Source organism: Homo sapiens, chromosome X (assembly GCF_000001405.40).
Source record: "Homo sapiens chromosome X, GRCh38.p14 Primary Assembly".
Classification (NCBI taxonomy): domain Eukaryota; kingdom Metazoa; phylum Chordata; class Mammalia; order Primates; family Hominidae; genus Homo; species Homo sapiens.
Genome location: NC_000023.11, coordinates 77697840 through 77719992, shown reverse-complemented (window position 1 = coordinate 77719992; position 22153 = coordinate 77697840). Strand labels below are relative to the sequence as shown.

The window sequence follows — 22153 nt, the reverse complement described above, 5'->3', positions numbered from 1 at the left end:
TTATAGTCTGAGAGACTGTTATGATTTCCGTTCTTTTTCATTTGCTTAGGAGTGTTTTACTTCTAATTATATGGTCAGTTTTAGAATAAGCACGATGAGGTGCTGAGAAGAATGTATATTCTGTTGCTTTGGGGTCAAGAGTTCTGTAGATGTCTGTTAGGTCTGCTTGGTCCAGAGCTGAGTTCAAGTGTTGTATATCCTTGTTAATTTTCCGTCTTGTCGGTCTGTCTAATATTGACAGTGGGTTATTAAAATCTCCCACTATTATTGTGTGAGAGTCTAAGTCTCTTTGTAGGTCTCTAAGAACTTGCTTTATGTTCTGGGTGCTCCCGTATTGGGTACATATATATTTAGGATAGTTAGCTCTTCTCGTTGCTTTGATCCCTTTACCATTATGTAACACCCTTCTTTGTCTGTTTTGATCTTTGTTGGTTTAAAGTCTGTTTTATCAGAGACTAGGATTGCAGCCCCTGGTTTTTTTTGCTTTCCATTTGCTTGGTAAATGTTTCTCCATCCCTTTATTTTGAACCTATGTATGTCTTTAATTTGTTTTTAAAATTATTATATCCATCCTACTTAGTATAAATTGGTTTCTTGTTGTGGTTTTGATTTGCATTTCCCTGATATGACTAATGATCTTGAGCATTTTTTCATGTGCTTATTGGCCATTGGTATATATTCTTTTGAGAAGTGTATATCTAAGTCTTTTCCCCATTTAAAAAATAGGGTTGTCTTTTTGTTGTTTAATTGTAAGAAGTCTTTATGTATTCTGGTTACCAGACCCTCATGAGATACAGGATTTGAAAATCGTTTTCTCTCATTGTGTTTGCTGTGTTTTCACTTTCTTGATGGTGCCCTTTGACATGCAAAAGTTTTGACTTTTATTAAAAATGGGGCTGGGCATGGTGGCTCACACTTGTCATCCCAGTGCTTTGGGAGGCTGAGGTGGAGGATTTCTTGAGGCCAGGAGTTTCAGACCATCCTGGGCAACATAACTGGACCCCATCTCTACAAAAAATTAAAGAAAAAATTTAGCTAAGAGTATAGTTGTGTGCTGCACTTCCTCAACTAAGAACATAGGTGTGTGCCACAGGTACTCAAGATGCTGAGGCGGGAGGATTGCTTTAGCCCAAGAGTTTTGAGACCTCAGTGAGTCAAGGTCACGCCACTGTGCTCAAGCCTGTGTGACAGAGCAAGAGGCTAACTCTAAGGAAAAAAAATGGGGTAAACTTATACTTTCCTTATTTAAAGTTTTAACTCCTTAAAACCCTGTTGAATTACAGATACATCTATTATATAACTTAAGAGTTGATGCTATAGGCTGGGCACAGTGGCTCACGCCTGTAATCCCAGCACTTTGGGAGGCCGAGATGGGTGGATCACGAGGTCAGGAGATAGAGACCATCCTGGCTAACACGGTGAAACCTCGTCTCTGCTAAAAATACAAAAAAATTAGCCGGGCGTGGTGGCGGGCGCCTGTAGTCCCAGCTACTTGGGAGGCTGAGGCCGGAGAATGGTGTGAACCCGGGAGGCAGAGCTTGCAGTGAGCCAAGATCACGCCACTGCACTCCAGCCTGGGTGACAGAGCAAGACTCCGTCTTTTAAAAAAAAAAAAAAAAAAAAAGAGTTGATGCTATAAAACTTAGTTAATGAAATATTTCCCTGGGCGATGGAGCTCTTGCAAGTCCTGTTGTATTTTTTGTTCATCTTTATGCCAGTCAGTTAGACAGTTCTTCTATGTCAAGCAGAGGATGGAATAATAAACCAAAACACTGCTTAGGGCTTTCAGAGAGTAAGTGTTCAGTAAATATATTCGATAAATTACTGAATTATTTTTTTAAATGATGGAAAGGAAAATCTTGCCCTCTCTTTTTCTGGGTGTTGGCTAGTATAAATCTTTCTTGAAGTGATAATCTACATCTATGTTTTGATTTCTAAGGATTTCCCAAATATAAGCTATATATAAGTGAGAGGAAATAATAACTTAGGTGCCTAATGATAATATGACAAGATAAGTACAAGGGTCAGCTATTTGTTGTGAAATAGCAATGGATATAATTTAAATATGAATACCTTTTTGCTGTTTAATCCCCCAAATTTTCTTTTGATTTCTTTTAAAATTCTTTTGTGGTAGGTAGGTTTATTGTTTCTTAAGAATTAACTTAAGGGTAGTATTTTCTGATACATTTTTAAGTAACATGAAGTTTAACTTCTGTTTAAACACATCATATAGAGTACATTGAAAGACCTCAGTATTTTCGAAATGTTTAGTAAGTAATATCAGCAGTTTCCTTAAATGATATTTTAATCCTAGGTAAGTGTACAGGTAGGTTGTGTTACTCATATTTTTATATTCTTAGTGAAATAGAATTCTTTTTTTTTTTTTTTTTTGAGACAGGGTCTGACTGTTGCCTTGGCTAGAGTGCAGTGGCATGATCTTGGCTCACTGCAACCTCTGCCTCACAAGGCTCAAGCCATCCTCCCACCTCAGCCTCCTGAGTAGCTGAGACCACAGGCATGAGCCACCCATGCTCTATTATGAGCCACCACACCTGGCCTAAAATTCGTTTTCTTTAATATTTTTTCTTTCTACACCCACAACTGTAACATTTCCCTTAGTTTTTACTTTGAATGTGCATACTCTTACACGACTTACAGTATGGCTATATTTTCAGTTTGCTAGAGCTTTACAATTAATTTAAAACATGAAAGGCTAATTAAGGGAATTCTTTAAATTTTGTTTTAATAGTGAAAGCAAGTTGAATACATTGGTGCAGAAGCTTCATGACTTCCTTGCACACTCATCAGAAGAATCTGAAGAAACAAGTTCTCCTCCACGACTTGCAATGAATCAAAACACAGGTAAATTGAAAAAGAATGTGCTATACCTTCTAGTCTTTTTTCTATTTTTTTTTTACACTTATGGAGGTAACCATTTATTTTATTCAGAGAGCAGCTTTTAAAAGAGATTTCAGTTTGTGGAAAATGACAGATTAGCAAGCTTTATAGAAGCCCCTATTATGTATCTTAGCTATATCTGATACAGGAGATTTTAATTTTGGTAAGTATGACTATAGAAAGCTTAGAAAAGGAAGCATTTATGGTTTTATATGTAATGGAAATGTGTTATAGAATGGCTAGTGAATGTTGACTGTGAAAAAATAGTATTAGAAGAGGCAGGAGTAGTATAGGAATGTTTTGTCCTAGCAATCATTCATGTATTAGGAGTTAAATTTTTATTTTTATTTTTGTGATGGAGTCTCGCTCTGTCACCCAGTCTGGAGTTCAATGGCATGATCTTGGCTCACTGCAACTTCCGCCTCTTGGGCTCAAGCTATTCTGCTGCCTCAGCCTCCTGAGTAGCTGGGATCACAGGCGTCTGCCACCATGTTTGGCTAATTTTGGTATTTTTAGTAGAGACTGGGTTTCACCCTGTTGGCCAAGCTGGTCTGGAACTCAAGTGATCTGCCCTCGTTGGCCTCCCGAAGTGCTAGGATAACAGGCATGAGCCATCACACCCAACATAAGAGTTAAATTTTTATGTTGTTTGATAATATCCCTGAGTAGATTTGGTGTATTTATTTTTTAAAATAAAACCACTTAACACCTCCTCTCTACCTCCCTGTCTCTCTCTTTTAAAAAGATATATATATATATATATATATATATTTTTTTTTTTTTTTTTTTTTTTAAAGAGACGAGGTCTTGCTTTGTCACCCAGACTGGAGTGTAGTGGTGTAATCATAGCTCACTGCAGCCTCAGACTTCTTGGGCTTAAGCAATCTTCTCACCTCACCCTCCCGGTAGCTGGGATTACAGGTGTGTGCCACCATGCCTGGTTAATTTCAAAAAAAAAAAAAAAAAAAAAAAAAAAAAAAAAAATTTTTAGAGACATGGTCTTGCTATGTTGTCCAGACTGGTCTTGGACTTCCTGGCCTCAAATGATTCTCCTGCCTCAGCCTCCTGAGTAGCTGAAATTATAAGCATGAGCCATTGTACCTGGTTCCCTTTTTTAAAAAACATTTTGTATCATGTGACAGTTAGCATTTTCAGGTTTTCAAGGGTAACTACAATACACATGCACACAGACACACACAATATGTACAAAAAAAGTATAAGAGAGTTATAGTGAAAAGTTCAACCATATGTGTAATTAGAGTTCTAGAAGGAATAAAGAGACTTGGTTAAAAGTCCTATTTGGAGAGATACGGGCTGAGCATTTTTTAAAAAGTGATGAAAAACATCAGACTAGAGATTCAAGAAGTTTTGTGAACCCTGAACAGGATAAATATAAAGAAAACTACAGCTAGGCATGTCATAACCAAACTCCTAAAGAACATAAACCGAGAGAAAAATATCTTAAGTAGCCAGAGGAAAAAAATACATTATTTTCAAAGGAATAACAGTAACACTGGCAGCTCACTTAACAACAGAAATGATAGAAGGCAGATGACAATGAAATTATTTCTTTAAAATGTCAAAGAAAAGTGCAGTCATGCATCACTTAACTATGGGATAGGTTTTTTTGAGAAAGCATTGTTGGGTGATTTTGTCATTGTGCAAACATTATGGAGTGTCCTTACATAGGCTACTACACACCTAGGCTATATGTTATAGCCTGTTGCTCATAGGCTACAAACCTGTGCAGCGTGTTCTTGTACTGAATACGGTAGGTAATCGGAACACAATGGTAAATATTTGTGTGTCTAAACACATGGAAACATAGAAAAGGTACAGTAAAAATACAGTATTATAATCTTATGGGACCACCGATGTATATGTGGTCAGTCATTGAGTGAAATGTCTTTATGCAGCATGTGATTGTAATTGCCAGCATAGAACTGTATATTCAGTGAAAACATCCTTCATAAATGAAGGGTGGAATAAGGCCATATCTGGGCAAACAAAAAGTGAGAACTTGATGTCAACAGACCTACACTGGAGTGAATAACTACACTAGAGGAAATTACAAGTTTTCTGAAATGAGAAAGAAAATAATTTGAAATGGCAACACCAAAATACAGGAAGTAATGAATAAGAATGGGAAAGCTAAATAGGTAGGTAAACTAAATAACATAAAGTTATTTAAGCCACAGTCCCTATTCTTATTTCATCAATTACCCCAGTAGTGTTCACAGATAAGTTTTTCCCCCTTAAATTCAGGATCCAGTTCAAGATTTAGTAGTCCTGTTTCTTTGGTTTTTTAAAAATCTGAAGCAGTTTGTCTGCCTTTTGGGACTATGACTTTTTTTGAAATGTACAGGTGTGTTACTTTGTGAAATGGCCCTCAGGATTATCTGTTTAGTTATGGTTAGATTCAGGTTATACATTTTTGGCAGGAATACTACATAAAGTGGTGTTCTGTTCTCCATGCATCCTGTTACATGGCACATGATGTGATTTGCCCCTTTACTGGTGATGTTAACTTAGGTTGTTTGGTTATGGTTGTGTTTGCTAGGTAAACCCAGTCTAAAGTTATGATTTATTCCATTGTAACTAATAACTAATTTAATGGGGGGCACTTTGAGATTACTAAGGTATTCTTTTTATTATCAAAACTTAATATGTTTTCTTTTGCAAATGACCACAAAGTTTGCAGCTTAAAACAACCCAAATTTGTTATTTTACAGTTCTGTAGGTTCGGAGTCCGGTGGGCCTTGCTGGACCCTTCTCGGGCTATCACAAGGTCAAAGTCAAGATGTTAGTAGGACTAGGTTCCTTTCTGGAGACTGTAGAAAAATCCATTCCTAAGCTCATTCAGGTTGTTGGCAGAATTCAGTTCTTTATGATAATCGGTTAGAGGTCCTTCTTTCTCACTCACTATTGGCCAAGACCCCCTCCTAGTTCTTTTCAGGTGTCTTCATTTCTTCTCACGTGATGCCCTCCATCTTCAAATCCAGCAACAGCACATCAAGTCTCTCTCAAGCTTTGAAGCTCTCTGACCTAGCTTTTTGCTTGCTAATTCTGCTGCCACCTGCTACCAGCTGGAGACATTTTTCTGTTTTTAAGGATTCATGTGATTAGATTAGGTCCCTCTCCCTCTCATCTCCTCCTGATTATCTCTTGAGTTTAAGATCAACTGTGCCATATTACATAACACAGTTATGGGAGTGATATGTCATCACATTGATAATTTCTGGGGATTTGCGGTGTAGAATCTTGTGGGCCATTCCTAGAAGGTCTGTTTATCACAGCATACATTTGTGATTCTTAGCTGAATAATTTATTCCTATGATGGGTTCAAAATGGTGATGTTCTAACTTGTCTTTCCTTCTATGTTTATTAGTTGATATTTTATTGTAAGGGAGGGGTTCATGTTCTAACCTATTCAATTATTTGTATCAGTATATACTTACAATTTTTTCCATGAATATTCTCTGTCATTATTTATTTTGATCCTGAAATTGTATCAGTTTTGGCTAGTAGGAGCCTCACCTGGATGGCTCCTGCTGACCTTTTTACAAATCCGCATCATTTCTTGAACACTTTCTTTCTGTCCCTTCAAAGTATTCAAGGCTTGCTTTCCATTCTCTGTTCCCCAGCCCTACAATCAGTTATTTTTTGCAAGAGTTCTGATTCCTTTTAGTGGGATATAGTGTTTAGAAATCAAGATCAGGGTGTGTGATGTGCTCATTGCCACCAAGATGTCTTTGTTTCCAAGCTCTTTCACAGAGAAAGCCAATAATATGTTTTATATTTTCATGAGTTGATACTGATACTTTTAATTCAATTCCAGTCTTCTTTCTAGACTTCCCCTTTTCATGTTTTTAACTTCTTTCTCCAACAGAAAGAAACCTGGTTCCTATTATCCCCAATTTATTTATTTTTATTTATTTATTCTTTTTGAGATGGAGTCTCACTCTGTTGCCAGGCTGGAGTTCAGTGGCGTGATCTCAGATCACTGCAACCTTTGCCTCCCAGGTTCAAGCGATTCTCCTGCCTCAGCCTACCAAGTAGCTGAGACTACAGTCATGCGCCACCATACCCAGCTAATTTTTGTATTTTTAGTAGAGACAGGGTTTCACCATGTTGGCCAGGATGGTCTTGATCTCTTGACTTCATGATCCGCCTGCCTCGACCTCCCAAAGTGCTGGGATTACAAGTGTGAGCCACTGTGCCCAGCCTATCCCCAGTTTATTTATTTATTTTTATTTTTATTTTTTTGAGATGGAGTCTCGCTGTGTCACACAGGCTGGAGTGCAGTGGCGCCATCTCAGCTCACTGCAACCTCCGCCTCCTGGGTTCAAGCGATTCTCCTGTCTCAGCCTCTTAAGTAGCTGGAACTACAGGTGCACACCACCGTGCCCAGCTAATTTTTGTATTTTTAGTGGAGACGGCGTTTTGCCATCTCTGGATGGCAGGCTGGTCTGGAACTCCTGACCTTAGGTGATCCACCTGCCTCAGCCTCCCAAAGTGCTCTGATTACAGGCGTGAGCCACCAAGCCCGGCCTTTCCCCAGTTTATTTGTATTCATTTTTCTAGTCCTCATTGTACCCACAGTTTCAGAGTTGTTAACCATATCATCGCATTAAAGAAACGTAACTATAGTTCAGTATTTCTTTAAAGTTCTTTTTGTCTTTAGAATGATGTTACGTTGTCGGAGTCCTGTGTTCACTAGTTGAGGAACTCCTTCAGTAGTGGTATCTCCAGTTGGACAAACAGATGTCACTCACAAATACCAATTGTAAATTCTGGGCAGCATACTGAAGGCTAGATATCAACAAAGTAGATAAACTGGAGGGGAGTCAACACATGGAAGAAGAAGTGGCAATGGCTGAATTCCCCATTGTTAATCCTTTTTGCTTCAGCCAAGGATCCTCTTAGCTCCATCTGTGGCCTTTAAGACTTGGATAAAAATCTACAGTCTTATTGGATGTGAAATCAAGGAAAAAATTTAGGGAGACCACAGCAGCTGTAACATGAGTAGAGAGATCCCATCTAGAAAAGAGCCACAGAATGGGAAAACCAGATTGCACGAAAACTCTCCCAATAGCTCTGGTCCTGTTGCCTAAGTGCACTCCAGATTCCAACCAGCCTGGTTAGGACTAAAAGAACAGAACAAAAGCTTTGAGTTGTTTGGTACTACAGGGTGGAAAGGGTTTGGAGTTTCATTTCAAGTAAGTTAACTATCTGTTTGTTTGGTTGGTTGGTTTTTTTTGAGACAGGTTCTTTTTCTGTTGCCTAGGCTGGTGTGCAGTGATGCCATCTCAGCTCACAGCAACTTCCACCTCCCGGGTTCAAGTGATTCTTGTGCCTCAGCTTTCTGAATAGCTGGGATTACAGGCACCTGCCACCACGCCCAGCTAATTTTTGTATTTTTAGTAGAGGCAGTGTTTCACCATGTTGGCCAGGCTGGTCTTGAACTCATGACTTCAGGTTATCTGCCTGCCTCGGCTTCCCAAAGTGCTGGGATTACAGGCGTGAGCCACCACACCCAGCCCAGTTGACTTTTTATGTTGGCCTTGTATCCTGTGAACTTGCTTAACGTACTTATTAGTTCTAAATAGTATTTTTCCCCCTCTTGTAGATTCTTTGGGATTTTCTACTTAGACAGTTATATCACCTGCAAATAGGGATAGTTTTATTTTTTCCTTTCCATCTGTATACCTTTTAATTTCTTTTCTTGCTTCATTATATTAGCTAGGATTTTCTGTATTTTCCAGTATTACATTGAAGAATGATGATGATAGCAGACATCCTCTTAGTGTTACCAATTTTAGTGGGAAAACATTCAGTCTTTCACAGTGAAGGATGTTTGCTTTATAGGTTTCTTGTAAATGCCCTTTATCAAGTTGAGGAAGTTCCCCTCTATTCCTAGTTTGCTGAGAATTTTTTTAAGCTTAAATTTCTATTTGATTTCTATTTGTAATTATAAATTCACATGCAGTTGTAATAACTAATATAGAGAGAGCTCTTATGCACTTTGGCAGTTTCCCTCAATGGTAACATATAAAACTAGAATACAATATCACAACCAGGAAATTGACATTGATAAAATCTATTAATCAAGATTTTGTCAGTTTTACTTTGTGTGTGTGTGTGTGTGTGTGTGTGTGTGTTAAAGTTCTATACATTTTTTTTTTACCTGGGTTGATTCATGCATCTACCACCACAGTTGAGATACAGAATAGTTCATCAACACAGGATTCCTCATCTTGGCATTTTATAATCACACCCACTTCCCTCCGCCTACCTCTGCCTATGCTTAACACCTGGCAACCACTAATCTGTCTTCCATTTTGAAAATTTTGTCATTTCAAATATGTTAAATAAATGGAGTTTATAGTAAATAATCTTTTGGGGTTGGAGTGTTTTCACTTGGCATAATTCTGTGGAGATTCATTGAGGTTGTTGTATGTATCAACAATCCTTTCCTTTTAATTGCAGGGTAATATTCCATGGTATGGATGTACAGATTGAGTATCCTTAACCCCAGAATCAGAAATCTGAAATGTTCCAAGATCGGAAACTTTTGAGTGCTGACATGACACTCAAAGGAAATGCTCATTGGAACATTTGGGATTTTCAGATTAGGGATGCTGAATCCCTAATGTGAATAAACCAGAATAGTGCAAATATGCTAGAATCTGAAAAAATCCAAAATTTGAAACACTTCTGGTCCCATGCATTTTGGATAAGGAATACGCAACCTGTACCACAGTTGTATTTGTATTGTTTTTTTTTTTTTTTTATTGAAATGGAGTCTTGTTTTGTCACCCAGGCTAGAGGGCAGTGGCATGATCTTGACTCACTGCAACCTCCGCCTCCCAGGTTCAAGTGATTCTCCTGCTTCAGCCTCCGGAGTAGCTGGGATTACAGGCAAGCGCCACCACACCCGGCTAATTTTTGTATTTATAGTAGAGACGAGGTTTCACCATGTTGGCCAGGCTGGTCTCGAACTCCTGACCTCAGGTGATCCACCCACCTCGGCCTCCCAAAGTGCTGGGATTACAGGTGTGAGCCACCGCGCCTGGCCTGTACCACAGTTTGTTTAACCATTTATTTGTTAAAGCAAATCTGGGCCGATTCCTGATTTCAGTTGTTACAATTAAAGCTGGTGGTGAATATTTATATATACGTTTTTATATGAATTTATGTTTTCATTTCTTTGCAATAAATGCCAGGAGTGCATTTTGCAGTTCATATGATGGTTACACATTTATTTTTATTAAATTAATTAAACTACATTTACATTTTATTTTATTTTGGGTAGAGACAGAGCCTCACTGTGTTGGCCAGGCTTGTTATGAACTCCTGACCTCAGGTAATCCTCCTGCCTTGTCCTCTGGAGGCCCTTGGATTACAGACATGAATCACTGCACCTGGTTTGCATTTTTTTTTTTTTTTTACTCCATTGGACTCTATCAGTGCTTTTATTTATTTATTGGTATTTATTTATTTATTTATTTTAACTTTTAGGTTCAGTGGTACCTGTGAAGGTTTGTCACATAGGTAAGGTAGCATCACTGGGGTTTATTGTTTAGATTATTTCATCACTTAGGTATTAAGCCCAGTACCTAATAGTTATCTTGTCTACTCTTACATGTTCATTTTTTTAAAAGAAACTCCTGAACTGTTATCCAGAGTGGTTGTACTGTTTTATATTCCCACAGCAATGTATGAGTGATCCAGTTTCTCCACATCCTTGCCAACACTGGGTGTTAATACTATTTTTAAATTTTAGCCATTTGATATTTATGGTATCTCATTGTGGTTTTAATTTGCATTTACTTAATGAGTAATAAATTCTTTTTAAATAGAAACAGGATATTGCTCTGTTGCCCAGGCTGGAGTGCAGTGGTGCAATTATAGCTCACTGCAGCCTCAAACTCCTAGGCTCAAGTGATCCTCCTGCCTCAGCCTCTCGAGTAGCTGAGACTGCCTCAGCCTGTCGAGTAGCCAAGACTACAGGCACATGCCACCATACCCAGCTAATTTTTTAATGTTCTGTAGAGACGGGGTCTGGCTCTGTTGCCCATGCTGGTCTCAGACTCCTGGCCTCAAGCGATCTTCCCACCATGGCCTCCCAAAGTATTTAGATTACAGGCATCAGCCACTGCATCTGGCTGGTAATAAAACATTAAACATCTTTATTGAAATATAATTTACATGCCATACAATTAACCCATTTAAAGTATAAAATTCAGTGGTTTTTAGTATATTGAATATTTACACATATGTACAACCATCACCACCATCAATTTTAAAATATTTTTATCACCTCAAAAAGAAACTCCATACCCTTTAGCTATCACCCCCTAGCTCTAAGAAATCACTAATCTAGTTTCTTGTTTTGAGTTTTTTATTTTTATTTTTATTTTTATTTTTTTTTTGAGACAGAGTCTCGTTCTGTTGCCCAGGCTGGAGTGCAGTGGCTATTTTGGCTTACTGCAACCTCTGCCTCCCAGGTTCAAATGATTTTTGTGCCTTGGCCTCCCAAGTAGCTGGGATTATAGGCGTGCGCCACCACACCTGGCTAATTTTTGTATTTTTTAGTAGAGACAGGGTTTTGCCATGTTGGCCGGGCTGGTCTCAAACTCCTGGCCTCAAGTCATCTGCCCACCTCAGGTTCCCAAAGTCCTGGGATTGCAGGCGTGAGCCACTGCGCCTGGCCTATTTCCCTATTTTGGACTTTCATATGAATGGCATCATATAATACGTGTTTTTGTGGCTGATTTCTTTCATTTAGCGTAATGTATTCAAGATATCTGTTGTAACATGTCTTAGTACTCCATTCCTTTTTATGGCCACATAATATTCCATTATATGTGTATACCATATTTGTTTATCCATTTATCCATTGATGGACATTTGTCTTGTTCCCATGTTTTGGCTGTTAGGAATAATGCGGCTGTAAATATTGGTGTACAGTTTTTTGTGTGTAGCCATATATTTTTGTTTATCTTGTGTATATACCTAGGAATCTAATTGCTGGATTTATATGGTAACTATGTTAAATTGTTTGAGGAAATGTCAAACTGTTTTCCAAAGTAGAGATACTATTTTACTTTTCCACCAGGAGTATATAAAGATTGTGAGTTCTTCACGTCCATGCCAACCATTGTTAATAACAGACTTTTTGATTCTAGCCATTCTAGTGCATGTGAAGTAGTATCTCATTGTGATTTTAGTTTTCAACTGCCTGAAGGGTAATGATGTTGAACATCATTTCATGTGCTTATTTGTAGTTTGTATATATTCCTTGGAGAAACTTCTATTCAAACCCTCTGTCCAGTCTTTTTCTTTTTGACAGGGTCCTGCTCTGTTTCCCAGGCTGGAGTGCAGTGGCATGATCTCAGCTCACAGCACCCTCAACCTCCCTGGCTCAAATGATCTTCCCACCTCAGCCTCCCGAGTAGCTAAGACTATGGGTGTGTGCCACAGTGCCCAGCTAATTTTTGTTTATTTTTTATAGAGATGGGGTCTTAATTTGTTGACCAAGCTGGTCTTGAACTCTTGTGCTTAAGCAATTCACCCGCCTCGGCCTCCCAAAGTGCTGGGATTACAGGCGTGAGCCACCGTGCCCAGCCCCTTTGCCCATTTTTAAAATGGGTATTTATGCTTTCATTGTTGATTTGTAAGAATTCTTTATATATTCTAAATTTTTTATTGTAAAATATGCATAACATAAAAATTGCCATTTTAACTAATTTTAAATGTACAGTCCTGTAACGTTAAGTAAAATTGTTGTGCATTCACCACCACCATCCATGTCTAGTACTTTTTCATCTTCCCCAAGTGAAACTCTGTACCCATCACATACTAACTCCCCAATCTTCCCTCTCCTTAGCCTTGCAAACACCATTCTACATTCTCTTCCTAGGAATTTGACTACTCTAGGAACTTCATATACGTATAATCCTACAATATTTGTCCTTCTGACATATTTTACTTAGCACAATGTGTTGAAGGTTATCCATGTTGTAGTATATCTCAAAATTTCATTTCTTTTGAAGTCTGAATACCATTCCATTGTATGTATATACCACATTTTGTTTATCTATTCATATTTCAATGGACACTTGGATAAGATATATAATTTGGAAATATTTTCCCCTATTCTTTGAGTTGTCTTTATTTATTTTTAGAGACAGGGTTTTGCTCTGTTGCTCAGGCTGGGGTGCAGTGGCAAGATCATAGTTCACTGCAGCCTTGAACTCCTGGGTACAAGCAATCCTTCCATCTCAGCCTCCCAAGTAGATGAGACTATAGTTGTGTGCCACCATGTCTGGCTAGTATTTTTTTTTTTTTATTTTTTAGAGATGAGGTCTTACCATGTAGCCCAGGCTGAGCTTGAACTCCTGGCCTCAGGCGATCCACCTTGGCCTCACAAGTAGCTGGGATTACAGGCGTGAGACACTGCACCCAGTTGGGTTGTCTTTAATTGAAGCACAAGTTACTAATTTTGATGAACTTTTATTTATCTGTTTTTCCTTTTGTTGCTCATTCTTTTGGTGTCTTTAAGAATCCATTACCAAATTGAAGGTAATGAAGATTTACCCCCATGTTTTCTTCTAAAAGTTTTATAGATTTAGTTCTTAAATTTAGGTCTTTGATCTACTTTGAGTTAATGTTTTGTATATGTTGCGAAGTAGGGGTCCAGCTTCATTTTTTGTAGGTTTCTAACCAGTTGTCTCAGCACCATTTATTGAAAGACAATTCTTTCTTCATTGAATGGTCTTGCCACCCTTGTCAGAAATCAGTGGGACTGTTGGGCATGGTGGCTCATGTCTGTAATCCCAGCACTTTGGGAGGCCGAGGTGGGAGGGGTACTCGGGCCCAGGAGTTCCAGACCAGCCTGGACAACACAGTGAGACTCCATCTCTATTAAAAAAAAAAAAAGCCAGGCGTAGTGGTGTGTGCCTGTAGTCCCAGCTACTTAGGAGGCTGAGGCAGAAGGATCACTTGAGCCCAGGAGACTGAGGCTGCAGTGAGCCATGATTGTACCACTGCACCCTAGCCTGGGTGACAGAGTGAGATCCTGTCTCCAAAAAAAAAATTAAAAAAAAAATCAGCTGGTCATAGATATATGGGTTTATTTCTGGACTCTTAATTCTGTTTGTCCTTTTACCAGTACTCCACGGTCTTGATTGCATTGTTTTACAGTTTTGTGCAAAGTTGCACCAAAGTTGTTGTGTAGTTTTGCAAAACTGGCAATCAAGTCTGTGCAGTACTGGCAAAATTAGGAAGTGTGAGTCTTCATACTTTTCATTTTTCAAAATTATCTGCCTATTCTGAATGTTTTCAATTCCCTATGAATTTTAACTCTTTGTTTTTTCTTGGTAGAGATGAGGTTTCACTATGTTTCTGAGGCTGTTCTTAAACTTCTGTCCTCAAGTGATCCTTCCACCTTGGCCTCCCAAAGTGCTGGGATTATAGGTCTGAGCCACCATGCCTGGTCCATATGAATTTTGGAATGAGCTTGTCAATTTTTACAAAGAAGTCAGCTGGGATTCTGACAGAGATTGCAGCGTGTCTGTAGATTAGTTTGTGGAGTATTGGTGATGGCAGCGGTGGGCCGTCTGGAGTGGCTGCTGCCATCACACTGGCTGCAGCAGGGAGACGTGGCCAGGGCTGCACGGTCTATAGAGTTGGTGGGAGCCAGGGGCAAGCAGGAGCCCTGCCCCTTCCAAGTTGGAGCTCCCTGGGTCCTGCTGCAGCTGCCTAAGCATGGCTGTAGACCTGGGCATCCCTGTGCTCTTGAGTCTTGGGAGCAGGCTGGAGCCCCACCCTCCCAGGTGCAACTGCAGCTGGCCAAACCGTGGCTGCAGTCCCAGGCCTCTCATTCCATGGAGCAGGCAGGAGACCCACCCTCCCGGGTGCAGCTGCAGTCTCCCAAACTGCGGCTACAGAACCTTGCCTTCTGCTCCACGAGCAGGCAGGAGCCCTGGGTGCAGCAGGAGCCCCGGGTGCAGCCGCAGCCACCCAAACCATGGCTGCAGATCTGGTCCTCCTGCTTTATGGAGCAGGCTGGAGTCCCACCCTCCTGGGCACAGCTATAGCTGCCCAAATTGTGGGTATAGACCTGGGCCTCCTGCTTTATGGGGCAGGCAGGAGCCCTGCCCCACTGGGTGCAGCTGCAGCCACCCAAATCATGGGGGGGCTGCAGACCCAGGTGTCTCTGCACTCTTGGGGCCTGGGAAGGCCCCCCTTGCTCTCATAGGCTTGGGAGTGCCTGCTCCTGCTGCCTGGCTTCACCCTGCTATTGGCACCTGCTCTGATCTTGTGGCAAAGTTGGGGCCGAGCCTGGGTGCTGTCGTAGCCTGGCCAGGTATCCACATGCTTGGGGAACTGCTGACATGCCAGCCTTCTGCTGCCTTGACCCCCTCTGGACTTTGGGTACTGACAAACATAGGGAAGCTGAGGCAGGGCTGAGGGCAGTTCAGCACTGGCCTGCAGGTGCCCCCTTGCATCTACAGCCTGGGCACCATGAATGGCAGCAGGAGGTAGACAGGTTCCTCAGTGGAAGGTGGCAGGTCCCTGGTGAGGACCCACCTTCAGGCCAGGGAAAGCCTGAAGGCTGGAGGTTGGGCTGCCAGTTGCATGGATCAGAGTGGGAACTTGTGGTGCCTTTTCTGGGCCTGCCTGTGGACCAATTGGCATGCACATCCTCCCCTCTGAGGCCCATAAAAACCCCAGGCTCAGCCAGAGCTGAACAGATGTCAGGATGACCAGCTGCAGAGAGGAGCAACCCACTCTAGGGCCTCCTCTCTGCTGTGAGCTGCAGAGGTGACAAGATGACCTTCCTGCAAAGAGGTGCCACACATTCTAGGGCCTCCTCTTTGCTGAGAGCTGCAGAGACGATGGGTCGACTTTCCTGCAGAGAGGTACTACTCATACTAGGGCCTCCTCTCTACTGAGAGCTGCAGAGACGAAGGAGAGATGATGGGGAGATGATGGGATGACCTGCCTGCAAAGAGAAGCCACCCACTCTCAGGCCTCCTCTCTCCTGAGAGCTGTGCAGATGACGGGATAATCAGCTGCTGAGAGGAGCTACCCTCTCTGCTGATAGCTGAACACTTGTAGTAACGACTTGCCTAGCAGAGAAGAACCACCCTCTCTGCTAGGAGCTGAACACTTGTAGTAATGACTTGCCTAGCAGAGAAGAACCACCCTCTCTGCTAGGAGCTGAACACTTGTTGGGATACCTTGACTGTGGAAAGGAGCTGCCCCCTTTGGGTTTCCTCTGAGCTGTTCTATTGCTCAATAAAGCCCCTCTTTATCTTGCTTACTCTCCACTTTTCTATGCACCTCATTCTTCTTGGGTGCAGGACAAGAACTTGGGACCTGCCAGATGAGGCTAAAATAGCTGTAACACAAACAGGGCTGAGACATGCCCCTTGCTCACCTTGTTGCAGGTGAAGAGAAGGAAAGAAGAGCTGCAGCCCTCTGGGGAGCCCAGACCTGGGAGCTCCCCAAGCCAGGGCTGTGACTCCCTCTTTGGGGCCCTGCCTGCGGTTCCTGGTGTCTCCAAACTTCTGGGTGCCACCGTGTTCCCTGGTGCCAGCTGTGGATGCTGCTTGTGGTGTTCATGGTCCAGCTGCAGCCTCACAGAGAAAGAGCTGATGCCCATGCTGGCACCTGGAGCTGCGTGCCCTGCTGCAGCTGCCAGGATGTCTGATTGCGCAGTGACCGGACCCCACACTTGCTCACATACCCCTTGCTGCTTCATCCAGTCTTCCTTGGCTATCATAGGACACAGGCCAGTAGCATGAGCCGAGTGTAGCCGGCCAGGCCAAATAGGCGGGACAAGCCCAGCAGGCCTGAGCAAAACTCTGGCACAGGTGCCACCAGCCGCAGATGTTTCTGGCCAGAAAAGTGACACCCCAAAGATTCTGTAACACTGGCATCATAAGAATGATAAATCTTATGGCTTGGCCTGGTGGCTGAAGGAATTGTGTACTTTAAATGGGTAAATTATATGGTGTGTAAATTGTATCTCAAGGATGTTTAATGTTTTATCACTGGCGAGGTGCGGTGACTTATGCCTGTAATTCCAGCACTTTGGGAGGCTGAGGTGGGAGGATTACTTGAGGACAGGAATTTGAGACCAGCCTGGGAAACATAGCCAGAACCCATCTCTACAAAACATTTAAAAATCAGCCAGGCATGGTGGCATGTGCCTGTAGTGCCAGCTAATCAGGATACTGAGGCAGGAGGATCACTTGAGCCCAGGAATTTGAGGCGGCAGTGAGCTATAATTGCACCACTGCACTCCAGCCTGGGCAATAGGGTGAGACTCTGTCCCTAGTAAAAAAAAAATGTTATCTTCTAATTCATGAACATGAAGTGTTTTTCCATTGATTTAGGTCTTTAATTTCTTTCAATAGCGTTTTATAATTTTCAGAGTATGTTTTGTACTTCTTTTTTTTTCAAATTATTTCCTTCTAATTCTGTTATAAATGGAATTCTTTTCTTAATTTCATTTTGAGATTATTCATTGCAAGTGTATAGACATAACATTGATTTTTGTTTATTGTCCTTGTACCCATCAATCTTCCTGAACTAATTTTATTCCCATAGTTCTTTTATTATTATTATTATTATTTTTTGAGATAGTCTTGCTCTGTTCCCCAGGCTGGGGTGCAGTGGTGCGATCTTGGCTCACTGCAACCTCTGCCTCCCAGGTTCAAGCAATTCTCTTGCCTCGGCTTACCGAGTAGCTGGGATTACAGGCACCTGCCACCACGCCCAGCTAATTTTTGTATTTTTAGTAGAGACAGGGTTTTGCCATGTTGGCCAGGCTGGTCTTGAACTCCTGACCTCTGGTGATCCGCCTGCCTCGGCCTCCCAAAGTTTTGGGATTACAGGCGTGAGCCACTGCGCCCAGCCTATTCCAATAATTCTTTAGTGGATTCCTTAGGATCTTCTATGTATGAGATAATGTCACATTCTAATAAGGATAGTTTTATTTTTTATTTTTTTTTGAGACAGAGTCTCGCTTTGTTGACCAGGGTGGAGTGCAGTGGCATGACCTCAGCTCACTGCAACCTCTACCCCCTGGGTTCAAGTGACTTTCCTACCTCAGCATCCCTAGGAGCTGGGATTACAGGGATGCGCCACCACACCCGGCAAATTTCTGTACTTTTAGTAGAGATGGGGTTTTGCCATGTTGGCTAGGCTGGTCTTGAACTCCGGACCTCGGGTGATCCACCCGCCTCAGCCTCCCAAAGTGCTGGGATTACAGGCATCAGCCACCGCGCCTGGCCCTCTAATAGGAATAGTTTCATACCTTCATTTTAAATACTGATGACTTTCAATTTTTTTTTTTAACATGCATGCTCTGAGTAGAATCCGTAGTGCAAAGTTGAATAGAAATGGTGAGAGCAGATTTCCTTGCCTTGTTCCTGATCTTAAGGGTTTCGGAAAGCATTCAGTCTGTCGCCATTAAGTATGATATTACCTACCTGTGGGTTTTTGTAGATTTTAAAATTTCCTTTCTTCCTTAATTTATTAGAAAAAAGATTTTTTTTTTTTTTTGAGACGGAGTTTTGCTCTTGTTGCCCAGGCTGGAGTGCAATGGCACAATCTCGGCTCACTGCAGCCTCCACCTCCTGGATTCAAGTGATTTTCCTGTCTCAGCCTCCCGAGTAGCTAGGATTGCAGGTGCATGCCACCACGCCCAGCTAATTTTTGTATTTTTAGTAGCAACAGGGTTTCATCATATTGGTCAAGCTGGTCTCGAACTCCTGACCTCAGGTGATCTGCCCACCTCAGCCTCCCAAAGTGCTAGGATTACAGGTGTGAGCCACCACACCTGGCCAGAAAAAAAAGATATTTTTAAAGAGCTGTTTTAGGTTCATAGCAAAATTGAGCAAAAAGTACAGTGAGTTCCCATATGTCCCTGCTTCCACACATGCACAGCATCTCCCACTATCAGCATTCCGTAAGAGAGTTGTACATTTGTTATATAACGTTGATGAACCTACATTGACATGTCATTATTACCCCAAATGCATAGTTTATGTTAAGGTTCACTCTTGGTGTTATACATTTTAAAGATTTTTGACAAATATATAATGACCTGCATTCACCATTGTGGTATCATACAGAATAGTTTCACTGCCCTAAAAAGATTCCTGTGCTGTGCCTGTTTCTTCATCCCTTTCTCCCCTGTGAGCACTGGCAGCCACTGATCTTTTTACTTTCTCCATAGTTTTGCCTTTTTCAGATTGTCATAGTTGTAATCATATGTATGTAACCTTTCCAGACTGGCTTCTTTCACATAGTAATCTGCATTTGTTTCCTCCATGTCTCTTTGTAGCTTGATAGCTAATTTATTTCTAGTGCTGAATAATATTCCATTGTCTGGATGTACTACAGTTTGTTTATCCATTCATCTTCTAAAGGACATCTTGGTTGCTTCTAAGTTTTGGCAGTTATGAATAAAGCTGCTTATAAAGATATTTATATAAGTAAATGAAGATGTTTACATAAAATAAAGACATTTATAAATATCTCCATGCAGGTTATTTTGTGGATGTATGTTTTCAGCTTCTTTGGATAAATACCAAGGAGTGTGATTGCTGCTTTATATATGGTATGCTTAGTTTTGTAAGAAATTGCTGAACTGTTTTCCTGAGTGGCTGTATCATTTTGCATTCCCACCAGCAATAAATGATAGTTTCTTTTGCTCCATATGCTTCTCAGCAGTTTTGATGTAGTCAGTGTTCTGGATTTTGGCTATTCTAATAGGCATGCAGGGGTATATTGTTTTAATTTGCAATTCCCTAATGACATGTTGAGCATTTTTTCATGTGCTTATTTGCGTCTGTATATCTTTTTTGGTGAGGTGTCTGTTCACATATTTCTTTTTTTTTCCTTGCTTTAAAATCATGTTGTTTGTTTTATTGTTGAGTTTTAAGCATTCTTTGTATAGTTTGGATAATTGTCTTTTATCAGATGTGTACTTTGTGAAGATTTTCTCCCAGTCTCTAGCCTGTCTTCTGATTTGAAGTTTTCTAATATTTTTGTGGACTTTTGCATCTATATTCATAAGTGATACTTGCCTGTAGTTTTCTCTATTTGTGATATATTTTTTATATCAGGGCAATACTGTTTTCATAAAATGAGTTGGGAAATGTTGCCTCCTTTTCTGTTTTTTAGAAGAGTTTGTGAAGGATTGGTATTAGTCCTTTTTTAAATGTTTGTTATAATTAAGTGGTGAGAACATTTGGGCCTTTTCTTTATGGGTAGCTTTTTTTATTGCTAATTTAATCTCATCAATTGTTACAGGTCTGTTCACACCTGTTTCTTCTTGAGTCAGTTTTAGTAGTTTGTGTTTTGGAATTTGTTCATTTCATGTAAGTTATTTAGTTTTTTGGCACACAGTTGTTCATAGTATTCCTTTATAATCCGTTTATTTCAGTAAGATTAGTAGTAATGTCCTCTTTTTCATTTCTGATTCTAGTAACTTGAGTCTTGTTTCTTTTTTTTCTTGGTCAGTCTACCCTAAAGTTTGTTCATCTTTTCTTCCCCCACAGGTAAGTTGTTACACAATCCCTAGCAGATTCCAACTTTCATGGCCAAGGTCCTCTTTGATCATCTTTTTAAAAAATTAGTTTTTGGCCAGGTGCCTGTGGCTCACGCCTGCAATCTCAGCACTTTGGGAGGCCAAGGTGGGCAGACCACTTGAACCCAGGAGTTAGAGACCAGGCTGGGCAACATGACAAAACCCCATCTCCACAAAAAATTAGCCAGGTGTGGTGGTGCGCGCCTGTAGTCCCAGCTACCTGGGAGGCTTAGAGGGGAGGATCACCTGAACCCGGGAGGTTGAGGCTAAAGTGAACCATGATAGCACCTCTGCACTCCAGTATGGACAATGGAGTGAGACCCTATCTCTAAAAAAAAAGGAGGAAAAGGAAAAGAACTACTCTTTGGTTTTATTGATTTTTTTTTTCTATTGCTTTTCTATTTCCTATTTCATTAGTTTCATGAATTTCTGCCATAATCTTTATTATTTCCTTCTCCTTGATTTTGGTTTAGTTTGCTCTTATTTTCCCAGTATTTTATGGTAAAATGAAATATACTTTATTGGTAGTATGTTTTTTATTTTTAGTGTAATAGTTTAAATTTTCTTCTGCTGGGAAATGTCTTGCAATATTTATAAACTACAACAGGAAATGTTTTTATACCAAAGTAATCTTTACAGAGATTTCATGCTTTATAAGGAGGGGTTAGTATGCAAAAGGAGAGTGATTCTAGTGAAAGAACACTTCTAGGAATATTTTAATGTGAGTAGTATGTTAACAATACTGCCAGACTTCATAGTGTGAGAATGGGTTTGTGGAGTTATAGGTATTGATGTTCTGTTTGATAATGCATCGAAGAGATAAATAATGTTCTTTATTTCTTCTTTTTTAGATAAAATCAGTGGTTCTGGAAGTAACTCTGATATGATGGAAAACAGCAAGGAAGAGGTAAGGATAATTATTTAGAGATATTTGTTAGTTACGATTAACCAAGTAGAGCATATGTCTTTAGATTGCTTCTGGACACATGTATGTGTCGAAGGCTACTGATACCCAGTTGTCATTATACTTCAGTTTCGTTGTTTTCCAGTTTGAGAACAGGTGTTCATTGTTTCTGTTATTGTTGTGGTTCACTTCAGTGGTTTACCTAAAGTCAGACAACTGAAGACTTCCAACAGATAGATATTAAACTGTCTTTATATTGCCCCAAAGGTGTTTGAGGTGGATGTTAAGGGCATGAACTCCATGGTTGTGAAATCTCTCAAAACTTGGTATCTAGAGTCTGCTAAGCATTATTATAGCAACTCATAACAAGGTCCTTTGCCTGATACACAGGTCCACAACTGTGGTTTTGGGAATTTTTTGACCTACTGTAAAAAAAAACTGAATCCAGTAAAATATATTGATTATACTGGCAAAATGAGGGTAAGTTTAGTATCTCAAAGCAAGTTGTAGAAGTTACTTCATGCCATATGTTAGCTTAGAGAAGAATGAAACATATTTAGATCCTTGAAACTCCCTACTTCTCTTGAGATCTGATTACTTCTGCATCTTTGTTTTGTCTTTGTTGACTGGGGCCATGATCATTTTGCAGCAGTGTATTCCCCGCAGCATGCCACAGCAACCATGTAAAAAACGAGAAATTTAATCTTCAGCCAAGGAAACCTGGCAGTAAATGAGAA

The 22153-nt window shown here is 40.6% G+C and overlaps 1 protein-coding gene across 11 annotated transcripts in view; it reads left to right on the top strand.

The window, feature by feature from the left end:
• The window catches only part of ATRX (ATRX chromatin remodeler), a 281337-nt gene that overhangs the window by 66224 nt on the left and 192960 nt on the right, over nucleotides 1–22153 (top strand). For 10 of the 11 annotated variants that reach the window (XM_005262157.6, XM_006724666.5, XM_017029604.3 and 7 more), the window contains exons 2-3: nucleotides 2750–2862; nucleotides 21364–21419. In XM_005262157.6, coding sequence (XP_005262214.2) covers nucleotides 2750–2862; nucleotides 21364–21419 — 169 coding nt within the window. The remainder of the gene's footprint in view (nucleotides 1–2749; nucleotides 2863–21363; nucleotides 21420–22153) is intronic. The other variant, XM_005262156.5, reaches the window with a different exon arrangement.